The sequence below is a fragment of the Homo sapiens genome, chromosome 8 (genome assembly GCF_000001405.40).
Source record: "Homo sapiens chromosome 8, GRCh38.p14 Primary Assembly".
In the NCBI taxonomy this organism is placed as follows: domain Eukaryota; kingdom Metazoa; phylum Chordata; class Mammalia; order Primates; family Hominidae; genus Homo; species Homo sapiens.
The window spans coordinates 48343719-48367012 of NC_000008.11; the positions used below are offsets into that span (position 1 = coordinate 48343719).

The 23294-nt window shown below is 37.7% G+C and overlaps 1 long non-coding RNA gene across 1 annotated transcript in view; it reads left to right on the forward strand.

Moving 5' to 3' along the window:
• The first annotated feature begins 3071 nt into the window (after positions 1-3071).
• The window catches only part of LOC105375821 (uncharacterized), a 127805-nt gene continuing 107582 nt past the window's right edge, over positions 3072-23294 (forward strand). Inside the window, exons 1-2 of the long non-coding RNA XR_001745891.1 lie at positions 3072-3108; positions 17682-17780. This is a non-coding gene — a long non-coding RNA (uncharacterized LOC105375821). The remainder of the gene's footprint in view (positions 3109-17681; positions 17781-23294) is intronic.

Genomic DNA, 23294 nt, shown 5'->3' on the forward strand with positions numbered 1-23294 from the left:
TCATTAACAAGTAAGAGATTGAACCAGTAATCAAAAACTTCCCAACCAAGAAAAGCCAGGGACTGAATGGCTTCACTGGTAAATTTTACCAAAAATATAAAGAATTAATGCTAATTATTCTCAAATTCTTCCAAAAAAATTGAAGAGGAGGAAACAATTCTAAGCTTATTTTACCAGGCCAGAATTACTCTGGTACTAAAGCCAGAAAAGGACATCACATAAGAGAAAATTATAGGCCAATATTTCTGATGGACATTGATGCAAAAATCTTGAACAAAATATTAGCAAACTAAAGTGAACAGCACATTAAATGATCACACAATATAAGGAATTTATTCCTGGGATGCAAGGATGGTTAAACGTATGCAAATCCACATAATATACTATATTAACAGAATGAAGGATAAAAGTCATATGATCACATCAATAGATGCAGAAAAAGCATTTGACAAAATTTAGCATCCTTTCATGATAACAACTCTCAACAAATTAGGTTTAGAAGGAATTCACCTTAACCTAATATGGGCCATATATAACAAGCCCACAGCTAACCTTATACTTTGTGGCAAAAAGCTGAAAGCTTTTCTGCTAAGATCAAAAACAAAACAAAGATGTCCACTCTCACTAATTTTATTCAAAATAGTACTGGAAGTTCTAGCCAAGGCCATTAGGCAAGAAAAGAAATAAAAAATATTCAAATCAGGAAGGAGGAAATAAGACTCCCTTTGTTGTAGATAAGATGATTTTATATACAGAAAACCCAAAAGACTCTACCAAAAGCTGTTAAACAAGTAAAAATCAGTTGTAGCTTTATATACTAACAATGAACTATCTGAAAAAGAATTTAGAAAACAATCTCATTTACAATAACCTCAAAAAGAATAAAATACATAGGAATAAATTTAAGGAGGTGAAAGATTTTTACCCTCAAAACTATAAAACATTGATGAAAGAAACTGAAAATGTCCATAGTAAAAATAGAAATCAATACTTTAAAAAGTCACTGAAAACCATGGAATTATGTGGAAATTAAACAACTTACTCCTGAATGACTTTTGGGCTAGTAATGAAATTAAGGCAGAAATCAAGAAATTATTTGAAACTAATGAAAACAAAGATAGAACACACCAGAATCGCTGGGACACAGCTAAGGCAGTGTTAAGAAGGAAATTTTTAGGATTAAATACCCACAACAAAAAGTTAGAATGATCTCCAATTAACAACCTAATGTCACAACTAATAGAACTAGACAAGTAACAGCAAACCAGCCTCAAAGCTATCAGGAGGCAAGAAATAACCAAAATCTGAGCAGAACTGAAGCTGAGTAGGACACAAAACACCATTCAAAAGACCAACGAATCCAGAATTTGGTTGTTTGAAAAAAAATTAGTAAGACAGATAGACTAATAAAGAAAATATACAAATAGTCACAATCAGAAATGATGAATGGAATGTTATCACTGACCCTACAGAGATACAAATAACCATCAGAGATTACTACAAACACTTATGCACACAGACTAGAAAACCTAGAAGAGATGGATAAATTATTAGACACACACATCCTCCAAAGATTGAAACATGAAGAAATTGAATCCCTGAAGAGACCAATAATGAGCTCCAAAATTGAATTAGTAATAAATAGACTATCAACCACAAAAAAAAAAGGCACAGCACCAGATAGATTCACCAGATATCTGAATTCTGCCTCATGTACGAAGAAGAGATGCTACCATTTCTGATGAAGCTATTCCAAAAAATTGAGGAGAAGGGACTCTTCCTTAAATCATTCTATGAGGTCAGCATCATCCTAACACCAAAATCTGGCAGAAACACAACAAAAAAAGAAAACTTCAGGCCAATATCTTTGATGAACATTGATGCAAAAATTGTCAACAAACTACTAGCAAAGTGAATCCAGTGGCAAATAAAAAAGCTAATCCACCATGATCAAATAGGATTTATCCCTGGGACACAGGGTTGCTTCAACATATGCCAATCAATAAATGTGACTCATCACATAAATGGAACTAAAGACTAAAGTCACGTGATTTTCTCAGTAGATGCAGAAAAGGCTTTTGACAAAATTCAACATCCCTTCCTGTTAAAAAATCTCAATAAACTAGATATTGAAGGAATATACTTCAAAATAATAAGAGCCACCTATGACAAACTGACAGCCAACATCGTATTGAATGTGCAAAAGCTGGAAGCATTCCCCTTGGAAACTGGCACAAGACAAGGATGCCCTCTGATATGGTTTGGCTGTGTCCCCACCCGAATTTCATCTTGAATTGTGGCTCCCATAATTCTCAAGTGTTGTGGGAGGGACCTGGAGGGAGGTAACTGAATCATGGGGCTAGGTCTTTCTCAAGATGGTGAATAAGTCTCATGAGATCTGATCCTTTTATAAATGGTTTTATTAGTTCATTAGCAGCATGAGAATGGACTAATACAGTAAATTGGTACTGGGTAATGGGATGCTGATGTAAAGATACCCAAAAATGTGGAAGTGTCTTTGGAACTTGGTAAGAGGCAGAGGTTGGAACAATTTGTAGGGTTTAGAAGTGGACAGGAAGATATGGAAAAATTTGGAACTTCCTACAGACCTGTTGAATGGCTTTGACCAAAATGCTGATGGTGATAGGGGCAATGAAGTCCAGGTTGAGGTGGTCTCAGATGGAGATCTGACAGCTTGCACTCTGTGCCTGGAGAAGCCTCAGACACTCAGTGCCAGCACATGAAAGCAGCCAGGAGTGGGCTATACATTGCAAAGCCACAAGGGTGGAGCTGCCCAAGGCTGTGGGAAACTACCTCTTGAATCAGCATGACCTGGATGTAAGACATAGAGTCAAAGGAGATCATTTTAGAACTTTAAGGTTTAATGACTGCCCTATTGGATTTTGCACTTGGATGGGGCCTGTAGTGCTTTTGTTTTGGTCAGTTTCTCCCATTGGGAATGGGTGTATTTACTCAATGCCTGTACCCTCATTGTATCGAGGAAGTAACTAACTTGCTTTTAATTTTACAGGCTCATAGGCAGAAGGGACTTGCCTTGTCTCAGATGAGACTTTGAACTGTGGACCTCTGAGTTAATGCTGAAATGAGGTAAGACTTTGGGGGACTGTTGGGAAGGCATGATTGGTTTTGAAATATGAGAACATGAGATTTTGGAGGGGCCAGAGGTGGAATGATATGGTTTAGTTGTGTCCCCACCCAAATCTCATCTTGAATTGTAGCTCCCATAATTCCCACATGTTGTGGGAAGAACTCAGTGGGATGTAATTGAATCATGGGAGCGGGTCTTTCCCATGTGTTCTCATGATAGTGAATAAGGCTCATGAGATCTGATGGTTTTTTAAAGGGGAGTTCTCCTACACAAGCTTTTTTGCCTGCTGCCATGTGAGATGTGTCTCTGTTACTTCTTTGCCTTCCACCATGATTGTGAGGCCTCCCCAGTCATGTGGAACTATGAGTCCATTGAACCTCTTTTTCTTTGTAAATTACCCAGTCTTGGGTATGTCTTTATTACAACATGAGAATGAACTAACATAGTAATCAATAAACTATGTTTTGAAAGAACATACGTCAAAGTAATAAGAGTCACCTATGACAAACTGACAGCCAACATCATACTGAATGCACAAAAGCTGGAAGCATTCCCCTTGAAAACTGGCACAAGACAAGGATGTCCTCTCTTAACCCTCCTATTCAACATAGTATTGGGAGTTCTGGCCAGGGCAATCATGCAAGGGAAAGAAATAAAGGACATTCACTAGGGGAACTGTCAGGCCTGAACTTTGCAGGGCAATCTTGCTCATCCAATGGTGCTCGTCTCATCTGAGCACCCGTTGGTCTGCTGGCCTCTCTTAGGGCCTCAGCCTGGCCACACCTGCTTGCAGAGCAGTCTCAGGTGCCCTGGGGGCCTGCACCATAGCTTCTGTGCTGGTGGACTGTGCCTGACCAGTGGAGAGGTCTAATGGGGCAGCCACTATGGCCATACAGCAGCTTGCATGCTCCCTCCCCATACTGCAGCTTCCCCCAAGTCCATGGCAACTCCCCATGTTGCTTGCTGTTGCCCATCTGCATGGATGGGTTTTGCTTTCCTTGCTCCACCAGTGCAAGGGAGTGCAGTCTGGCCCTCCTCCCTCAACTGACTGCCATTGCAGATGAAGCCTTGGTGGGCAGAGAGTCAACCAGTCCCACCCCCACCCCCACCAACACCCTGCCCTTGCACTAACACTGTGTAGAGAACAGTGGATTCTCCCCTGCCCTTAGCAATCACTCCTGCTTGTGGGGCACAGATAAGGCACCTAGATCTGTGTCCACCAGCACCTTACCCCTGAGCCAACACCACCTTTAGCATGACTGTGCACATAGTCCCCAGCAAGGGCCCCCCTGACACCACCCCACCAGCTGTGTTGCCTCTGTCACCGTAGTAAATGCCTGCAGGGAGACAGGCACCCTGGCACCTGCAAACACTCTGTCATAGCTGCCACACCTCAGGCCCCCCACCCCCTGGCACAAGTGGATTCTTAACCTTGAGGAGCCAGAGAACAAAGCTGGGGCCCAATACCAGTTCAGAGCACAGAGTCCATGAGATGGGAGATGAGCACTGTCTACCTAAAATCTTCCAGAAATAGAGCCAGCCATCTGAATTCACCTTATACCACAATCAAACCCTCAATGTCATCAGGTAGTATAAAAGAAGAAAAAAAAAACACTCTGCCAAAGGTCAGAAGCCTCAAAGATTGAAGGGAGATAAGCCTACAAAGATGAGAAAGAATCAGTGCAAGAACCCTGAAAACTCTAAAAGCTGGAATGCCCTCTTTCCTTCAAATGACCACATCACCTCTGCAGCAAGTATTTTGAACTGGGCTGAGATGGCTGAAATGACAGAAATCGAATTCAGAATATGGATAGGAAGGAAGATCATTGAGCTAGAGGAGTACATTGAAACCCAATTCAAAAAACCTAGAAATCATGATAAAACAAAACAGGAGCTGACAGACAAAATAGCCAGTATAGAAAAAAGAATTTAACCAACCTGATAGAGCTGAAAAACACATTACAAGAATTTCATAATGCAATCACAAGTATTAATAACAGAATAGTCCAAGAAAAGGGAAGAATCTCAGAACTTGATGATTGGCTTTCTGAAATAAGACAGTCAGACAAGAATAGAGAAAAAAGAATGGAAAGGAATTAATAAAACCTCCAATAAATGTGAGATTATTTAAAGAGAGTAAATCTATGACTCACTGGTGTCCCTGAAAGTGATGGGGAGAATGAAACCAACTTGGAAAACATACTTGGGGATATCATTCATAAGAACTTCCCCAACCTAGCTAGAGAGGCCAACATTCAAATTCAACAAATGCAGAGAACCCCACTAAGATACTTCACAAGAAGATCATCCCCAAGACACATAATCAGATTCTCCAACGTCAAAATAAAAGAAAAAAATGTTAATGGCAGCTAGTGAGAAAGGTCAGGTAACCTACAAAGGGAAGCCCTTCAGACTAACACTGGACCTCTCAGCAGAAACCCTGCAAACCAGAATATATCTGGGGCCAATATTCAAACTTCTTAAAGAAAAGAAATTCCAACCTGGAATTTCATATCCAGCCAAACCAAGCTTCATAAGTGAAGGAGAAATAAGATCCTTTTCAGACAAGGAAATGCTGAGGGAATTTGTTACCAGCAGACCTGCATTACAAGAGCTCTAGAAGGAAGCACTAAATATGGAAAGAAAAGACCATTACCAGCTGCTACAAAAACACACCAAAGTACACAGACCAGTGGCACTATTAAGCAACCACATAAACAAGTCTGCAAAATAACCAGTTAAAATCATGATGACAGGAACAAATCCACACACATCAATACTAACTTTGAATGTAAATGGGCTAAATGCCCCAATTAAAGGGCACAGAGTGGCAAGCTGGATAAAGACCCAATGGTATGCTGTCTTCAAGAGATCCATCTCACATGCAATGACACACATAGGCTCAAAATAAAGGGATGAAGAAAAATCTACCAAGCTAATAGAAAATAGAAAAAAGCAGAGGTTGCGATCTTAGTTTCAGACAAAATAGACTTTAAACCACGAAGATCAAAAAAGACAAAGAAAGGCATTACATAATGATAAAAAGTTCAGTTCAACTAGAAGATCGAATTATCCTAAATATATATGCATTAAACACAAACCACCCAGGTTCATAAAGCAAGTTCTTAGAGACCTTCAAAGAGTCTTACACTCCCACACAATAATAGTGGGAGATTTTAACACTGCACTAACAATATTAGACAGATCATTGATACAAAAAGTTAACAAAGATATTCAGGACCTGAGCTCAGCACTAGATTAAAAAGACCTGACGACATCTACAGAACCCTCTACTCCAAAACAACAGAATATACATTCTTCTCATTGCCACATGGCACATACTCTAAAACTGATCAGATATTTGGAAGCAAAACACTCCTCAGCAAATGCAAGATACCTGAAGTCATAGCGAACAATGTCTCAGACCACAGCATAATCAAATTAGAAATTAAGACTAAGAAATTCACTCAAAGCCATACAATTACATGGAAATTGAATAAGCTGCTCCTGAATGGCTTTTGAGTAAATAATGAAATTAAGACAGATGTCAAGAAGTTCTTTGAAAGTAATGAGAACAAAGATACAACATAACAGAATTTCTGGGACACAGCTAAGGTAGTGTTAAGAGGGGAGCTTATACCACTAAATGCCCACATCAAAAAGTTAGAAAGATCTCAAATTAACAACCTAATGTCACAACTAAAAGAACTAGAGAATCAAGAGCAAACAAATACCAAAGTTAGCAGAAGACAACAAATAACCAAAACCAGTTTGAACTGAAGGAGATTAAGACACAAAAAACCATGGAAAAGATCAACGCATCCAGGAACTGTTTTTTGAAAAAAATCAATAAAATAGGATAAAGAAGAAAAGAGAGAAGATTCAAAGAGACACAATTAGAAATGATAAAGGGGATATTACCACTGGCCCCACAGAAATACAAATAACAGTTGAAGAATATAATGAACACCTCTATGAATATAAACTAGAAAACACAGAAGAAACAGATAAATTTTTGGTCACACATACCCTCACAAGACTGAAAGAAGAAGAAACTGAATCCCTGAATAGACCGATAATGAGCTCTGAAATTGAGTCAGCAATAAATAGCCTACCAATGAAAAAAAGCCCAGGACCGGATAGATTCACAGTTGAATTCTACCAAATGTACAAACAAAAGCTGGTACCATTCCTGCTGAAACTATTCTAAAAAATTGAGGAGGAGGGACTCCTCCCTAAATCATTCTATGAGGGTAGCATCATCCTGATACAAAAACTTGGCAGAAACACAACAAAAAACAAAACTTCAGGTGAATGTCTTTGATGAACACTGATGCAAAAATCATCAGCAAAATACTGACAAACTGACTTCAGAAGCACATAAAAAAGCTTATCTACCATGATCAAGTAAGCTTAATCCCCAGGATGCAAGGTTGCTTCAACATACACAAATCAATAAATGTGATTCATCACATAAGTGGAACTAAAGACAAAGACCACATAATCTCTCAATAGATGCAGAAAAGGCTTTCAATAAAATTCAACATCCCTTCATGTTAAAATCTCTCAATAAAGTAGGTATTGAAGGAACTTTCTTCAAAATAACTGGAGCCATCTATGACGCACCCCCAGACAACATTATACTGGATGGGCAAAAGCTGGAAGCATTCCCCTTGAAAATCATGGGGACAGATGGATGCCCTCTGTCACCATTCCTAATTGTCACCACAATGGCATTCCCATTAGAAATCATGGGGCATTCCTCTTGAAAATCAGTGCAAGAGAAGGATGCCTTCTATCACCACTCCTCTGTCACCATTTGTATTCAAGATAGTATTGGAAGTCCTGGCCAGGGCATTCATGCAAGAGAAAGAAATAAACAGCATCCAAATAGGAAGAGAGGAAGTCAAACTATTCCTGTGTGCAGATGACATGATCCTATATCTAGAAAACATCATATTCTCAGTCCTAAAGCTCCTTAAGCTGATAAACAACTTTAGCAAAGTTTCAGGATACAAAATCAGTGTGAAAAATCACTAATATTCCTATACATCAATAACAATCAAACCAAGAGCTAAATCAGGAACACAATCCCATTCACAACTGCCATAAAATAATGAAATACCTATGAATACAGCTATCCGGGGAGGCAAAATATATTTACAAGGAGAGCTACAAAATATTGCTCAAACGAATCAGAGATGATACAAACAAATGGAAAAACATTCCATCCTCATGGATAGGAAGAATCAATCTTCCTATATTAAAATGGCCTATATTAAAATGACCATACTGCCCAAAGCAATTTATACATTCAATGTTATTCCTATTAAAATACCAATGACATTCTTCAAGAACTAGTAAAAACTATTTTAAAATTCATATGGAACCCAAAAAGAGCCCAAGAATTGCTTGAACCTGGGATGTGGAGGTTTCCATGAGCCAAGATTGTGCCACTGCACTCCAGCCTGGGTGACAGAGCAAGACATCATCTCAAAAAGAAAGAAAAAGAACACTTTATCCAACAATAGTAGAATACACATTTTATTCATATACCCATGGAGGATTCATCAGACAGACAATATTCTGGGTCATAAAACAAACCTTAAAAAACTTAAAAGAATTGAAATTGTACAGAGTACATTGTCCACAATATAATAAATCTGGATACAAAGGAAAGATAATAGGAAAGTGTAAAATACTTGTAAACTAAACAACACATGCTATATGATAATACATGGATCAAAGAAGGTGGCTCAAGGGCAAACGATATATTGAACTAAATAAAATGAAAATGCAACATATCAAAGTTGATAGTATGCAGGGATTCCATTCCAAGATGGCCAAATAGGAACAGCTCTGGTCTGCAGCTCCCAGTGTGATCAACACAGAAGATGGGTGATTTCTGCATTTCCAACCTAGGTGCCTGGTTCATCTCATTCTAAAAACCAGAGCACCTCTTCTCCTCCAAAGGATTGCAGCTTCTCGCCAGCAATGGAACAAAGCTGGACAGAGAATGACTTTGACGAGCTGACAGAGGTAGGCTTCAGAAAGTCGGTAATAACAAACTTCTCTGAGCTAAAGGAGGATGCTCGAACCCATCGCAGGGAAGCTAAAAACCTTGAAAACAGATTAGATGAATGGCTAACTAGAATAAACAGTGTAGAGAAGACCTTAAATGACCTGATGGAGCAGAAAACCATGGTACGAGAACTACATGATGCATGCACAAGCTTCAATAGCTGATTTGACCAAGTGGAAGAAAGGGTATCAGTGATTGAAGATCAAATTAATGAAATAAAGTGAGAAGAAAAGTTTAGAGAAAAAAGAGTAAAAAGAAACAAACAAAGCCTCCAAGAAATATGGGACTATGTGAAAAGACCAAATCTACATTGGACTGGTGTACCTGAAAGTGACAGGGAGAATGGAACCAAGTTGGAAAACACTCTTCAGGATATTATCCAGGAGAACTTCCCCAACCTAGCAAGGCAGGCCAACATTCAAATTCAAGAAATACAGAGAACACCCCAAAGATACTCCTTGAGAAGAGCAACCCCAAGACACATAATTGTCAGATTCACCAAGGTTGAAATGAAGGAAAAAATGTTAAGAGTAGGCAGAGAGAAAGGTCAGGTTACCCAAAAAAGGGAAGCCCATCAGACTAACAGCAGATCTCTTGGCAAAAACTCTACAAGCCAGAAGAGAGTGGGAGGCCAATATTCGACATTCTTAAAGAAAAGAATTTTCAATCCAGAATTTCATATCCTGCCAAACTAAGCTTCATAAGTGAAGGAGAAATAAAATCCTTTACAGAGAAGCAAATGCTGAGAGATTTTGTCACCTCCAGGCCTGCCTTACAAGAGTTCCTGAAGGAAGGACTAAACATGGAAAGGAACAACCAGTACCAGCCACTGCAAAAACATGCCAAATTGTAAAAACCGTCAATGCTAGGAAGAAACTGCATCAACTAATGGGCAAAATAACCAGCTAACATCACAATGACAAGATCAAATTCACACATAACAATATTAACCTTAAATGTAAATGGGTTAAATGCCCCAATTAAAAGACACAGACTGGCAAATTGGATAAAGAGTCAAACCCATCAGTGTGCAGTATTCAGGAGATCCATCTCATGTGCAGAGACACATGTAGGCTCAAAATAAAGGGATGAAGGAAGATCTACCAAGCAAATGGAAAGCCAAAAAAAAAAAAAAAAAAAGAAAAAAAAAGCAGGTGTTGCGATCCTAGCCTCTGATAAAACAGACTTTAAACAAACAAAGATTAAAAGAGACAAAGAAGGCCATTACATAATAGTGACGGGATCAATTCAACAAGAAGAGCTAACCATCCTAAATATATATGCACCCAATACATGAGCACCCAGATTAATAAAGCAAGTCCTTAGAGACCTACAAAGAGACTTAGACTCCCACACAATAATAATGGGAGATTTTTACACCCCACTGTCAATATTAGACAGATCAATGAGACAGAAATTTAATAAGGATATCCAGGAATTGAACTCAGCTCTGCACTAAGCAGACCTAATAGACATCTGCAGAACTCTCCACCTCAAATCAGCAGAATATATATTCTTCTCAGCACCACATTGCACTTATTCCAAAATTGTCCACATAGTTGGAAGTAAAGCACTCCTCAGCAAATGTAAAAGAACAGAAATCACAACAAACTGTCTCTCAGACCACAGTGTAATCAAATTAGAACTCAGGATTAAGAAACTCACTCAAAACCACACAACTACATGGAAACGGAACAACCTGCTCTTGAATGACTACTGGGTACATAATGACATGAAGGCAGAAATAAAGATGTTCTTTGAAACCAATGAGAACAAAGACACAACGTACCAGAATCTCTGGGACACATTTAAAGCAGTATGTAGAGGAAAATTTATAGCACTAAATGCCCACAAGAGAAAGCAAGAAAGATCTAAAATCGACCCCCTAACACCGCAATTAAAAGAACTAGAGAAGCAAGAGCAAACACATTCAAAAGTTAATAGAAGGCAAGAAATAACTAATATCAGAGCAGAACTGAAGGAAATAGAGACACAAAAAAACCTTAAAAAAATCAATGAATCCAAGAGCTGGCTTTTTGAAAAAGAGCAACAAAATTGATAGACCACTAGCAAGACTAATAAAGAAGAAAAGAGAGAAGAATCAAACAGATGCAATAAAAAATGATAAAGGGGATATCACCACTGATCCCACAGAAATACAAACTACCATCAGAGAATACTATACACACATCTATGCAAATAAACTAGAAAATCTAGAAGAAATGGATAAATTCCTTGACATATACACCCTCCCAAGACTAAACAAGGAAGTAGTTCAATCTCTGAATAGACTAATAACAGGCTCTGAAATTGAGGCAATAATTAATAGTCTACTAGCCAAAAAGAGTCCAGGACCAGACAGATTCACAGCCGAATTCAACCAGAGGTACAAAGAGGAGCTGGTACCATTCCTTCTGATACTATTCTGATCAATAAAAAAAGAGGAAATCCTCCCTAACTCATTTTATGAGGCCAGCGTCATCCTGATACCAAAGCCTGGCAGAGACACAACAAAAAAAGAGAATTTTAGACCAATATCCCTGATGAACATTGATGTGAAAATCCTCAGTAAAATACTGGCAAACCGAATCCAGCAACACATCAAAAAGCTTATCCACCATGATCAGGTGGGCTTCATCCCTGGGATGCAAGGCTGGTTCAACATATGAAAATCAATAAACATAATCCATCAGATAAACAGAACCAATGACAAAAACCACATGATTATCTCAATAGATGCAGAAAAGGCCTTCGACAAAATTCAACAGCCCTTCATGCTAAAAACTCTCAATAAACTAGGTATTGATGGAACGTATCTTAAAATAGTAAGAGGTATTTATGACAAACCCACAACCAATATCATACTGAATGGGCAAAAACTGGAAGCATTCCCTTTGAAAACTGGCACAAGACAGGGATGCCCTCTCTCACCACTCCTATTCAACATAGTGTTGAAAGTTCTGGCCAGGGTAATCAGGCAGGAGAAGGAAATAAAGGGTATTCAATTAGGAAAAGAGGAAGTCAAATTGTCCCTGTTTGCAGATGACATGATTGTATATTTAGAAAACCCCATTGTCTCAGCCCAAAATCTCCTTAAGTTGATAAGCAACTTCAGCAAAGTCTCAGGGTACAAAATCAATGTGCAAAAATCACAAGCATTCCTATACGCCAATAACAGACAAACAGAGAGCCAAATCATGAGTGAACTCCCATTCACAATTGCTACAAAGAGAATAAAATACCTAGGAATCCAACTTACAAGGGATGTGAAGGACCTCTTCAAGGAAAACTACAAACCACTGCTCAATGAAATCAAAGCAGACACAAACAAATGGAAGAATATTCCATGCTCATGGACAGGAAGAATCAATATCGTGAAAATGGCCATACTGCCCAAGGTAATTTATAGATTCAAAGCCATCCCCATCAAGCTGCCAATGACTTTCTTCACAGAATTGGAAAAAACTACTTCAAAGTTCATATGGAACCAAAAAAGAGCCCACATAGCCAAAACAATCGTAAGCCAAAAGAACAAATGTGGAGGCATCACACTACCTGACTTCTAACTAAATTACAAGGCTACAGTAACCCAAACAGTATGGTACTGGTACCAAAACAAAGATATAGACCAATGCAACAGAACAGAGGCCTCAGAAATAACACCACATATCTACAACCATCGGATCTTTGACAAACTGACAAAAACAAGAAATGGGGAAAGGATTCCGTGTTTAATAAATGGTGCTGGGAAAGCTGGCTATCCATATGTAGAAAGCTGAAACTGGATCCCTTCCTTACACTTTATACAAAAATTAATTCCAGATGGATTAAAGACTTAAATTTTAGACCTAAAACCATAAAAACCCTAGAAAAAAACCTAGACAACACCATTCGGGATGTAGGCAAAGTCAAGGAGTTCATGACTAAAACACCAAAAGCAATGGCCACAAAAGACAAAATAGACAAATGGGATCTAATTAAACTAAAGAGCTTCTTCATAGCAAAAGAAACTACCATCAGAGTGAACAAGCAACCTACGGAATGGGAGAAAATTTTTGCCATCTACTGGTCTGACAAAGGGCTAATATCCAGAATCTACAAAGATCTTAAACACATTTACAAGAAAAAAACAAGCAACCCCATCAAATGCGGGCAAAGGGTATGAACAGACACTTCTCAAAAGAAGACATTTATGCTGCCAACAGACACATGAAAAAAATGCTCCTCATCACTGGTCATCAGAGAAATGCAAATCAAAACCACAATGAGATAACATCTCACACCAGTTAGAATGGCGATCATTAAAAAGTCAGGAAACAACATATGCTGGAGAGGATGTGGAGTAATAGGAATGCTTTTACACTGTTGGTGGGAGTGTAAACTGGTTCAACCATTGTGGAAGACAGTGTGGTGATTCCTCAAGGATCTAGAACTAGAAATACCATTTGACCCAGCAATCTCATTACTGGCTATATACCCAAAGGATTATAAATCATGCTACTGTAAAGACACATGCACATGTATGTTTATTGCAGCACTATTCACAATAGCAAAGACTTGGAGCCAATCCAAATGTCCATCAATGATAGACTGGATAAAGAAAATGTGGCACATATACACCATGGAATACTATGCAGCCATAAAAAGGATGAGTTCATGTCCTTTGAAGGGACATGGATGAAGCTGGAAACCATCATTCTAAGCAAATCATCACAAGGACAGAAAACCAAACACTGCATGTTCTCACTCATAGGTGGGAATTGAACAATTTCCTGCCTTGGACACAGGGCGGGAAACATCACACCCTGGGGCCTGTCGTGGGATGGGGGTCAGTGGCAGGGATAGCATTAGCAGAAATGTATAATGTAAATGACGAGTTAATGGGTGCAGCAAACCAACATGGCACTTGTATACCTATGTAGCAAACCTGCATGTTGTGCACATATACCCTAGAACTTAAAGTATAATTTAAAAAAAAGAGAAAACAAAAACAAAAAACAAAGTTGGTAGTATGCAGCCAATATGGTACCGGGAGGGAAATTTATGGCAATAAATGCTTACAATAGAAAAAGAAGAAAATCCCAAATAAGTAATTTAAGCTCCTACCTCAAAAACCTAAGAGAATAAGAGCAAAATAATCCCAAAGCAGGTAGAAATAAATAATAAAGACGTGGGCAGAAGTCAATAAAGTTGAAAACAGAAAGACAATAGGGAAAATCCATGAGACAAAAAGCTGGTTTTCTGAAAAGATATATAAAATTCATCTAGCAAGACAAAGACACAAAAAGACATAAGTTACCAATATCAGAAAGAAAACAGAGTATACCCACAAAACCCACAGCTAACATCATACTTAATAGTGAAAGAGTATTTGTTTTCCCCTTAAGATCAGAAATAAGGCAAGATATTTACTCTAGCCACAGTTAGTAAGCATAATCCTGGAAGTTCTAGCCAAAGCAGTAAGGCAAAAAAAAAAAAAAAAAAAAAAAAAAAGGATATAAAAGACACAGAGATATGAAAAAAGATATAAAACTGCCTGAAATAAAACTGCTGACAGCATGGTTGTTTACATAGAATATGTACGATGACTTTTCAAAAAAACTCCTACAACTAACAAGTGGTTCAGTAAAGTCACAGGACACGAGATAAATCGATACCCAAAATAAAAAATACAATTTATCGATTTTCCAAAGAAAATGAAATATTTGTGTACACATTTAACAAAACATTTTATAGGACTTGCACACTGAAAACTACAAAATGGTGATGGAAAAATCAAAGAAGATCTACATAAACAGAAAGGCATGCCATGTTTGTGGATTGCAAAACTCAACATTGCCAGTTCTCCCTAAATTCAAACACAGGTTTAATGCAATTCTTATCAAAATTTTCACAATCTTTTTGTAGATATAGCCATGATTATTCTAAAATTTATATCCAAACATATAATACCATAGACTTTATAAATCTAAAATTTATATCAAATTGTGAAGTTGAGGCTGCAGTGAGCTGTGATTGTGCCACTGCACTCCAGCCTGGGTGACAAAAGTGAGACCTTATCTCCAAAAATAGATAAATAAATAAACCTGTAGAATTTTTAGCAGATAATATAGCAGAAAATTTTTAGGCTGTGGGCTTGGTGAAGAAATCTTAGACATGACATCAAAATTATGAATCATAAAAGAAAAAAATTGGTATCGATAAATTGGACTTCATCAAGATTTAAACCTTCTGCTGTGGGAAAGAACTTGTTAAGAATATGAAAAGATGAGCTGCAGATTGAGGGAAAATATTTGAAAACCACATATGTGAAAAACGTCTTACATCTAGAATTCATGAAGCATTTTCAAACCTCAACAGTAAAAACCAAACAATCCAATTAGAAAATGGACAAAAGATATGAAGAGATATTTCACCAAAGAGAACATACAGATGTCAAATAAACACACAAAAAGATATCCAACATTACTAGATATTAGGGATATCAAAACTAAGGCTATGGTGAGATATCAGGACACACCTATTGGAACAACCAAAACCAAAAGCAAGTACTGACAACACTGAATACTATCATGGATGCAGAGAAACTGGATCCTGCATGTGGTGCTGGTGGGAATGTAAAATAGCACAGACAATCTGGGAAATAGGTGGTTTCTTAGAAAAATCTAAACATACAATTACCGTGTAACCCATCAGTGGTACTTCTGTGCATTTATCTGAGACACGACAACTTATGTCAACACAAAAACCTGTACACAACTCTTCACAGCATCTTTATCCGCAATAGCCCAAAGCTGAAAGCAACCAAAATGTCCCTAATAGGTGATGGTTGAATAAATGGATACATCCATACCAGAGAATACTCAGCCATAAAAAAGGAATGAATGAATGATCCATGCAGCATCCTGGATCAATCTCCAGAGGATTTTATGGAGTGAAAAAAGCCAATATCAAAAGTTTACATGCTCTGTAATTCCTTTTATATAACATTTTCAAATGACAAAATTATAGAGATAGAAAAGAGATGAGTGGTTGCCGGGGACTGGGGGTGGTAGGGGTGGGGGAGGCATGATTATAAAGGGGGTAACACAAAGGAAGCCTTGGGGTGATGGGATAGTTGTGATTTTTGATTTAGGTGGTGGTTACACAAATCTACACATTTAATAAAATGACTCAAACCTAGCACACATTGTACCAATGTCACTTTTCTGGTTTTAATTTTGTATTGTAACCACTGGGGATAACTGGGTGAAGGGAACAGGAGACCTCTCTGCTCCTCTGCTGTCTTGGTAACTTACTGTGAATGTATAAGTATAAAAGTTATTTTTAAAGTGTAGTCTGCAGCCTTTGGTCTGTGACTATAACCGAGTGACTCCTAAGGTTGGCTTTCTCAACCATCTGATCATGTAGTAGCCTTTCTCAACCATCTGGTCATGTAATAGCACTGCCTCTCACGGGGTCCTGTGAGGATTGAGGGATGTAACCCGTATAGCGCATCGGGTGTGAGCACACCCTCAACAAATGGGAGCTGTTCTAAAGATTGACCCCAAGCAAAGGGGAGCTCAGGATGCCATATGTTATTTCCTAAGAAAAAATTGCATGGATGGTAAGTGAGGATAGTGTCAGACCCAGGTAGATCTCAAGAAGAGTCTGAAAAATGGGACAATGTTATGTTCCTAATTAGACGTGGGCCACGGCCTCAGGTAAAGAGATTTTCTCTGTTCCTTCTTAGAGAATAGTGTGTGATGATTTGTCAGAATCTGATAACAGGGACACTTTGGAAGTTCTTGGAGCATTATGTTTAAGTGTATGGGGTTTCAGTATCACTCTTTAAACAATATCAAGTTAAAAGACCAAAGCTCGTTTCAGTTCTGGAAAGGGGAAAAGGAACAAGAAACCACTGATTTATCAGTTATTGAATGATAGGCCTATGTGTGTTTATACTCTGACTCTTGAAGCAAAATGTTGAAGGAAATCTCATATCATTCATTATTTACAAACAGAAAAGGACTATGGCCCTGAAGGATCCCTTTCTGTAGATTCCCCCTGTCTCTAGAGACTGCAGGGGAAGCAGAGTGAAATCCACACTCACATGGGCTGGCCTTGTGCTCTGCTCCTTGGATCAGTTTAGGGTCAGAATGAATACTCAGAATTTTTGAGATTCCAAACATTGATCATTTGGGCATATTCAAATTGATCAGTTTGTTTCAGTCTACTTATCATGAATAAATAATTAGAAAATATTTAAACAAATAATGTGAGATTCTTTTGTCAGATATTTACTGAGTGCTACTGAGTGAAAATTAAAGGCACTAATTAGACATTGTTTGGACTTCAAGAACTGTACAGTCTCCTTAAGGGTGAGGTGCATGAGTTGAAGACATTTTAAGAAATACACACATGAAGACATTTAAGAAATATACACAAGAAAGTGTATATTTCAATTCAGTGCAGAAGAGAAAGAACACAAACACATGCATGACATTTCAGGGGCAGAGAGATGGCTTTTTCAGGATGGCAGCAAGGAACATTTCATGGAGCACACATTGGATTTGAGCTTGCCCTTGAGGATCTGGACGACAGAAAAAGGTAAGTTGCGTGGCAGCAACGGGGAGGGACGTGGCACAGTCTGGGAGTGAAGAGCCGTCCATTTGGCTGGAGGGCAGGCAGGAAAAGTGAATGAGAGGGTTTTGCTGGCAATAGCAAGTTTGGCTTTCAGGCTAAGGAATTTAGAGTCTATTTGTCAAACCATGAGGAACAACAGCAACTTTTTGCATACAAAAGTGTTGGGCCTGGAAATATTCAAGGTAACTGTTACAGCCGTGGTGCTCCATGAATGGAAGGGGCCTGTGTTGGTCTGCTCAGGCTGTGTAACAAAATACCACAGGCTGGATGCTTAAAGGCAGACATGTACTTTGTCACAGTTCTAGAGCCTGGATGTCCAAGAGCAAGGTGCTAGCAGGTTGGTGTCTGGTGAGAGCTCCCTTTGTGTCCTTTCTTGCTATATGTCCCATGACCTTTCCTCCATACAGAGAGCAGAGAGGGAGTGAGCCCTCAGGCATGTCTTCCTGTAAAGACACTACTCTTATGAGATTAGGACCCCACTCTTATGACCTCATTTTACCTTAATGACTTCCGTAGTGGCCCCACTCCAAATGCAGCCACACTGGGGGTTAGGACTTCAACATGTGAATTCTGGGGGATACAACATGCAGTCCCTAACAGGGCCTAAGGTCTAAGGCTGAAAACAGGGAAACCACTCAGAGGGGGGCTGTGATCGTTCAAGAAGAATGAATGAGATTGGGTGGGGATGTGGCAGGGAGGTGAGGGTAAGTCTAGAGGGACAGCTCCGTGCAGGGCCATCTACTCCTGTACTTGCAGTGGGCACCTCTTTCTGGTCTTCTTCACACTTCTAATGTCCTGTGTCACTTCAGGTCTCTTAATCTGGGGGGCCAACTATGTGGTGTGTGCAGGAGAGGAGAGAACTAGAAGAGTGTTCCACTTCTCATGCTGTATTGAGAGTGGCAGAGGATGGAGACAGGGCTGAGCAGCTTATTTCTAAAGGTTTGTTTTGCTTTGCTTTGGACATAGGACCTCTCTACGTGCGGAGAGGTGTCTAGAGCTGCTACATCATCACACATGCAAGCCGTCCTCACAACAGGGGCAGCAAACTGTTTCTGTAAAAGGTCAGATGGTAAATATTTTAGGCTTTGTGAGCCAAGGGGCAATATTGAAGACATTATGTAGGTACTTAGGTAACAAGAGAGAAAACAAATCCCTACAAATTTTTTAATGACAAAATTCAAAACATAATAATTGTGTACAGTGTTTTGTAATATAGTTCTCCTGATGAGAAGAATGGAATTCTTTATGGGAGAAATAATATTTCACTCAGAATTCAAAGTTTGTTTTCTCTGTCATCAAAATCAAAGACAAATGTTCATCTCTTAATGCTGATCTAATAGGAAGGAGATCTTACATATTTCACCTTTGAAAATGCCATTTTACACAACAAGCTGCTGCCAGATAATGACATTAACTCATGAGCATGTGATTTTAACTGAGGATATCATCACTTGGAAGGCACATCTAGAATTTGATAAGATTCTTCTCTTAATAGGTGCTTTTAGTATGTCATGATACTCCAGATTTAATAGTTCCTATTGAAGGTTAAGTGGAGACTCTTCAACTACACGTTTAATTGATTTTTCAAAAAGAAAATTATGGAATGAATATTTTCAAACATCATACAAAAAAATTAAGATAATAGTCTAATAATCCACATGTACCTACATTCTAGAATTATCTAGATTTTGTCATGTTCACTTCATCAGTCATTTCCTCTTCTATTTCTTTTTCCTTTTCTGTTAAAAACATTTGGGAGGCTGGGTGTGGTGGCTCATGCCTGTAATCCCAGCACTGTGGGAGGCTGAGGTGGGAGGATCACTTCAGGTCAGGAGTTCGAGACCAGCCTGGTCAACATGGCGAAACCCCCTCTCTACTAAAAATACAAAAATTAGCTGGGTGTGGTGGCCTGTAATCTCAGCTACTTGGGAGGCTGAGGCAGGAGAACTGCTTGAACCTGGGAGGTGGAGGTTGCAGTGAGCCGAGATCATGCCACAGAACTCCATTCTGGGTGACAGAGGGAGGCTCTGTCTCAAAACAAACAAACAAACAAACATAAAAACAAACAAAAAAACATTTTGGAACAAATCTCAGACATTACATCACTTTAATTCCTACATAATTCAGTGTTCATCTCTAAAAAATATGGACTTTGTATGACTATTCTTATAAACCAGAAAAAATCTAAATACTTTATTTAGAAAATTTAATGTTTCTCTCTTGATATCCAGCAGTGTAGGACTTGAGAGCAAGATCAAATTAGTTACAAAAAAATAATATGGCAATCTTTTCTTTGCACATCTGAGTGTGGAAATGATCCATCCCATTACCTTTATATGTCTTGTTAAAAAATAGCTTTTCATTATGAAATAATTATAGGTTCACAGGAAGTTGCATGGAAATGTAAGAGAGGTCCAGAGTACCCTTCACCCAGCTTCCCCCCATGTTATTATTTTGTGTAAATATGCTACAATATCAGCCAGGAAATTGATGTTGGTTCCATCCGTGGAGCTTATTGAGATTTCACTAGCTATAGTATTGGTGGATATGTGTGTGTAGTTCTATGCAATTTTATCACATGTGTAACTTCATGTAACCATGACTACAATCGTGGTACCATCACTACAAGGTTCTCTCATGCTTCCTGTTTATGGCCACACCTGTGCTTCCATCTGTATCCATAACCCTTAGCAACCACTAACCTATTATCCATCTCTGTAATTATGTTATTTCACAAACATTATATAAATGGAATCATGCAGTATTTATACTTTTGAGATTGGCTTTCCTTGAGGGTCATAAAAATTGTGTGGATCAATAGCTTTTTAAAATTGTTGAGTAGTAGTATTCCACTGTCTGGATGTCCCAGAGCTTATTGAACTATTCACCCATTGAAGGATATTTGGTAGTTATGAGTTTTGCACTTTTATGAATAAAGCTGCTATGAATATTCATAGTCAAATTTCTGTGAGAAAATCAATTTTCATTGTTCTGAAATGCCCGAGTACAATTCTTGGTCATAAGGTAAGTTCACTTTTAGGTTTAGAAGAAATTGCCAAAGTATTTCCCAGAGTGGCTATACCATTTTACATTCCCACAAACATTCCAGTTTCTCCATATGTATTCTCTCACATTTGATATTGCATCATTTGAATTTTAGCTATTCTAATAGATATGTGGTGATAGCTCCTTGTGGTTTTCACGTGCATTTCCTTAGTGGGTAATGATGATGAAATTTTTTTCATGTGCTTCTTTGTCATCTCTATGTCCTTTTCAGAGAGATATCTCTTAGTGTCTTTTGCTCCTTTACTAATATAGATATATTTTTTTAAGTTGAGATTTGAAAGTTCTTTAGATAGCCTAGCTACAAGTCCTTTGTGGGATACATGGTTTATAAAAATTTTATCCTATCCCGTAGCTTGTCTTTACGTTCTTCTTAACAGGGTCTTTTGCAGAGCAAAAATTGAAATTTTGCTATAAACATTTGCATGTTCATAGCATGATTTCAGAAGTGTTTCCTTCTCTTCTATTTTCTGGAAGAGTTTGTGTAAAATTGTTCTTAAGTTTTCTTAATAATCTGGGCCCAGAGATGTCTCTTTGGGAAACTTTTAAATTATGCATTCAATTTAATAATTTTGCTGAGGTCCAATTTATTATATTCTCCTTTTATGGATTTTACCGTGTTTAAGTATAAGATATCTTTGCCTAGTGCCTGGTCCCAAAGACTTCCTCCTAGAGGTTTTATGGTTTTACAGTTTACATTTAAATCTATGATCCATTTTGAGTTGATTTTTTTTTTCTAAGGTATTCTGTTTAGGTTGAGGTTCACATTTTGTTTGCCTATGGATGTCAAATTGCTCCAGCACTATTTTCGACAAGGCTTTCCCTCCTCTGTTGAACTGTTTTGCTCCTTCGTCAGAAGTTAACTGGGCATATATGTATGTAAACCTCCTTCTGGATTTTTTAGTCTGTTGTACTGATCTATCTGTCTATCCCTCCATCAATATCATGTAGTCTTGATTACTTTAGCTATATAGTAAGCCTAATAATTTCTCCCACTTTATCCTAATTTTTCAAAATTGATTTGGCTCTTCTTGGACCTCTTTCTGTCCATATACATTTTTCTATGTTGACAACAAATCTTTTCAAGGTTTTGATAGGAATTTCATTAGCTCTGTCTATAAATTTAGGGAGAATTGATATGTTTGCTATGTTGTCTTCTAATCCATGTACATGGTATGTCTATTCAAAAAATTTATGACTTTGATTTCCTTCATTAGCATTTTATAATTTTTATCATATGGCTTATACATGTTTTGTTAGAGTTATAGACAATAATTTAATTTTCTTTGAAGAGATTATAATTGGTAGTGAACTTTTAATTTTGGTTTCCATTTGTTTTCAGTAGATAGAAGTGCAATTGATTTTTGTGTGTTGATTTTGTATCCTGCAATCTTACTGAACTCATTTATTGGTTCTATGAGTTTTTAAAAACATTTCTTAAGATATCTACATAGACAATCATGTCATCTGCAAGTAGAGATGGTTTTATTTATTTCTACTCTGTACATGTTTTTTTTATTTTTCCCCCTTTGGCTCACCTTATTGCATCTGCTTAGTACTTCTAGAACTGTGTTAAAGAAGAATGCTGAGACATCCTTGCATTGCTCCTGATCTTAGAGGAAAAACATTCAGTTTCCACTATTAAAAATAATGTTAGCCATAGTATTTTTGTAGATGCTCATTATAAGGTTGAGGAATGTCCCTTCTTTTCCTAATGTACTAAAAGTTTTAAAGATTATGAAATGGTGTTGAGTTTTGTCATTCTGCATCAACTGATATGAGCATATAATTTTTTTCCTATTAATATGGTAGATTACATTGATTGGTTTTTGAATAATGAACCAGTCTTGCATTCCTGGAATAAACCCCACTTAGTCATTGTGCACATATTTTATATTTATTATTGAATTTTATTTACTAATATCTGATTAAGAATGTTTCCATCTATATTCATGAGTGATATTGGTCAATGGTTTTCTTTTTTGTACTATGTCTGGTTTTAGTATCAGCACAATAGTATTGTTATAAGTGAGTTGGGAAGTACACCCTCTTATTTTCTGGAGGGGATTATGCATACTTGTGTTCTTCGAACATTTGATAGAATTCTTCAGGGAAACTATCTACTGAGAAATGCCTATTTCTGGAAAGTTTTAAAAATTACAAATTCAAGTTCCTAAATATAGAGGTAATAAAATTATCTGTTTCTTACTGGGTGAACTGTAGTAGTTTGTACTGTTTAAGAAAATTGTACATTGCATCTCTGTTGTTAAATTTATATATGTAGAGTTTTTCATAGCATGATTTCAGAAGTGTTTCCTTCTCTTCTATTTTCTGGAAGAGTTTGTGTAAAATTGTTGTTAAGTTTTCCTAATAATATGGGCCCAGAGATGTCTCTTTGGGAAACTTTTAAATTAC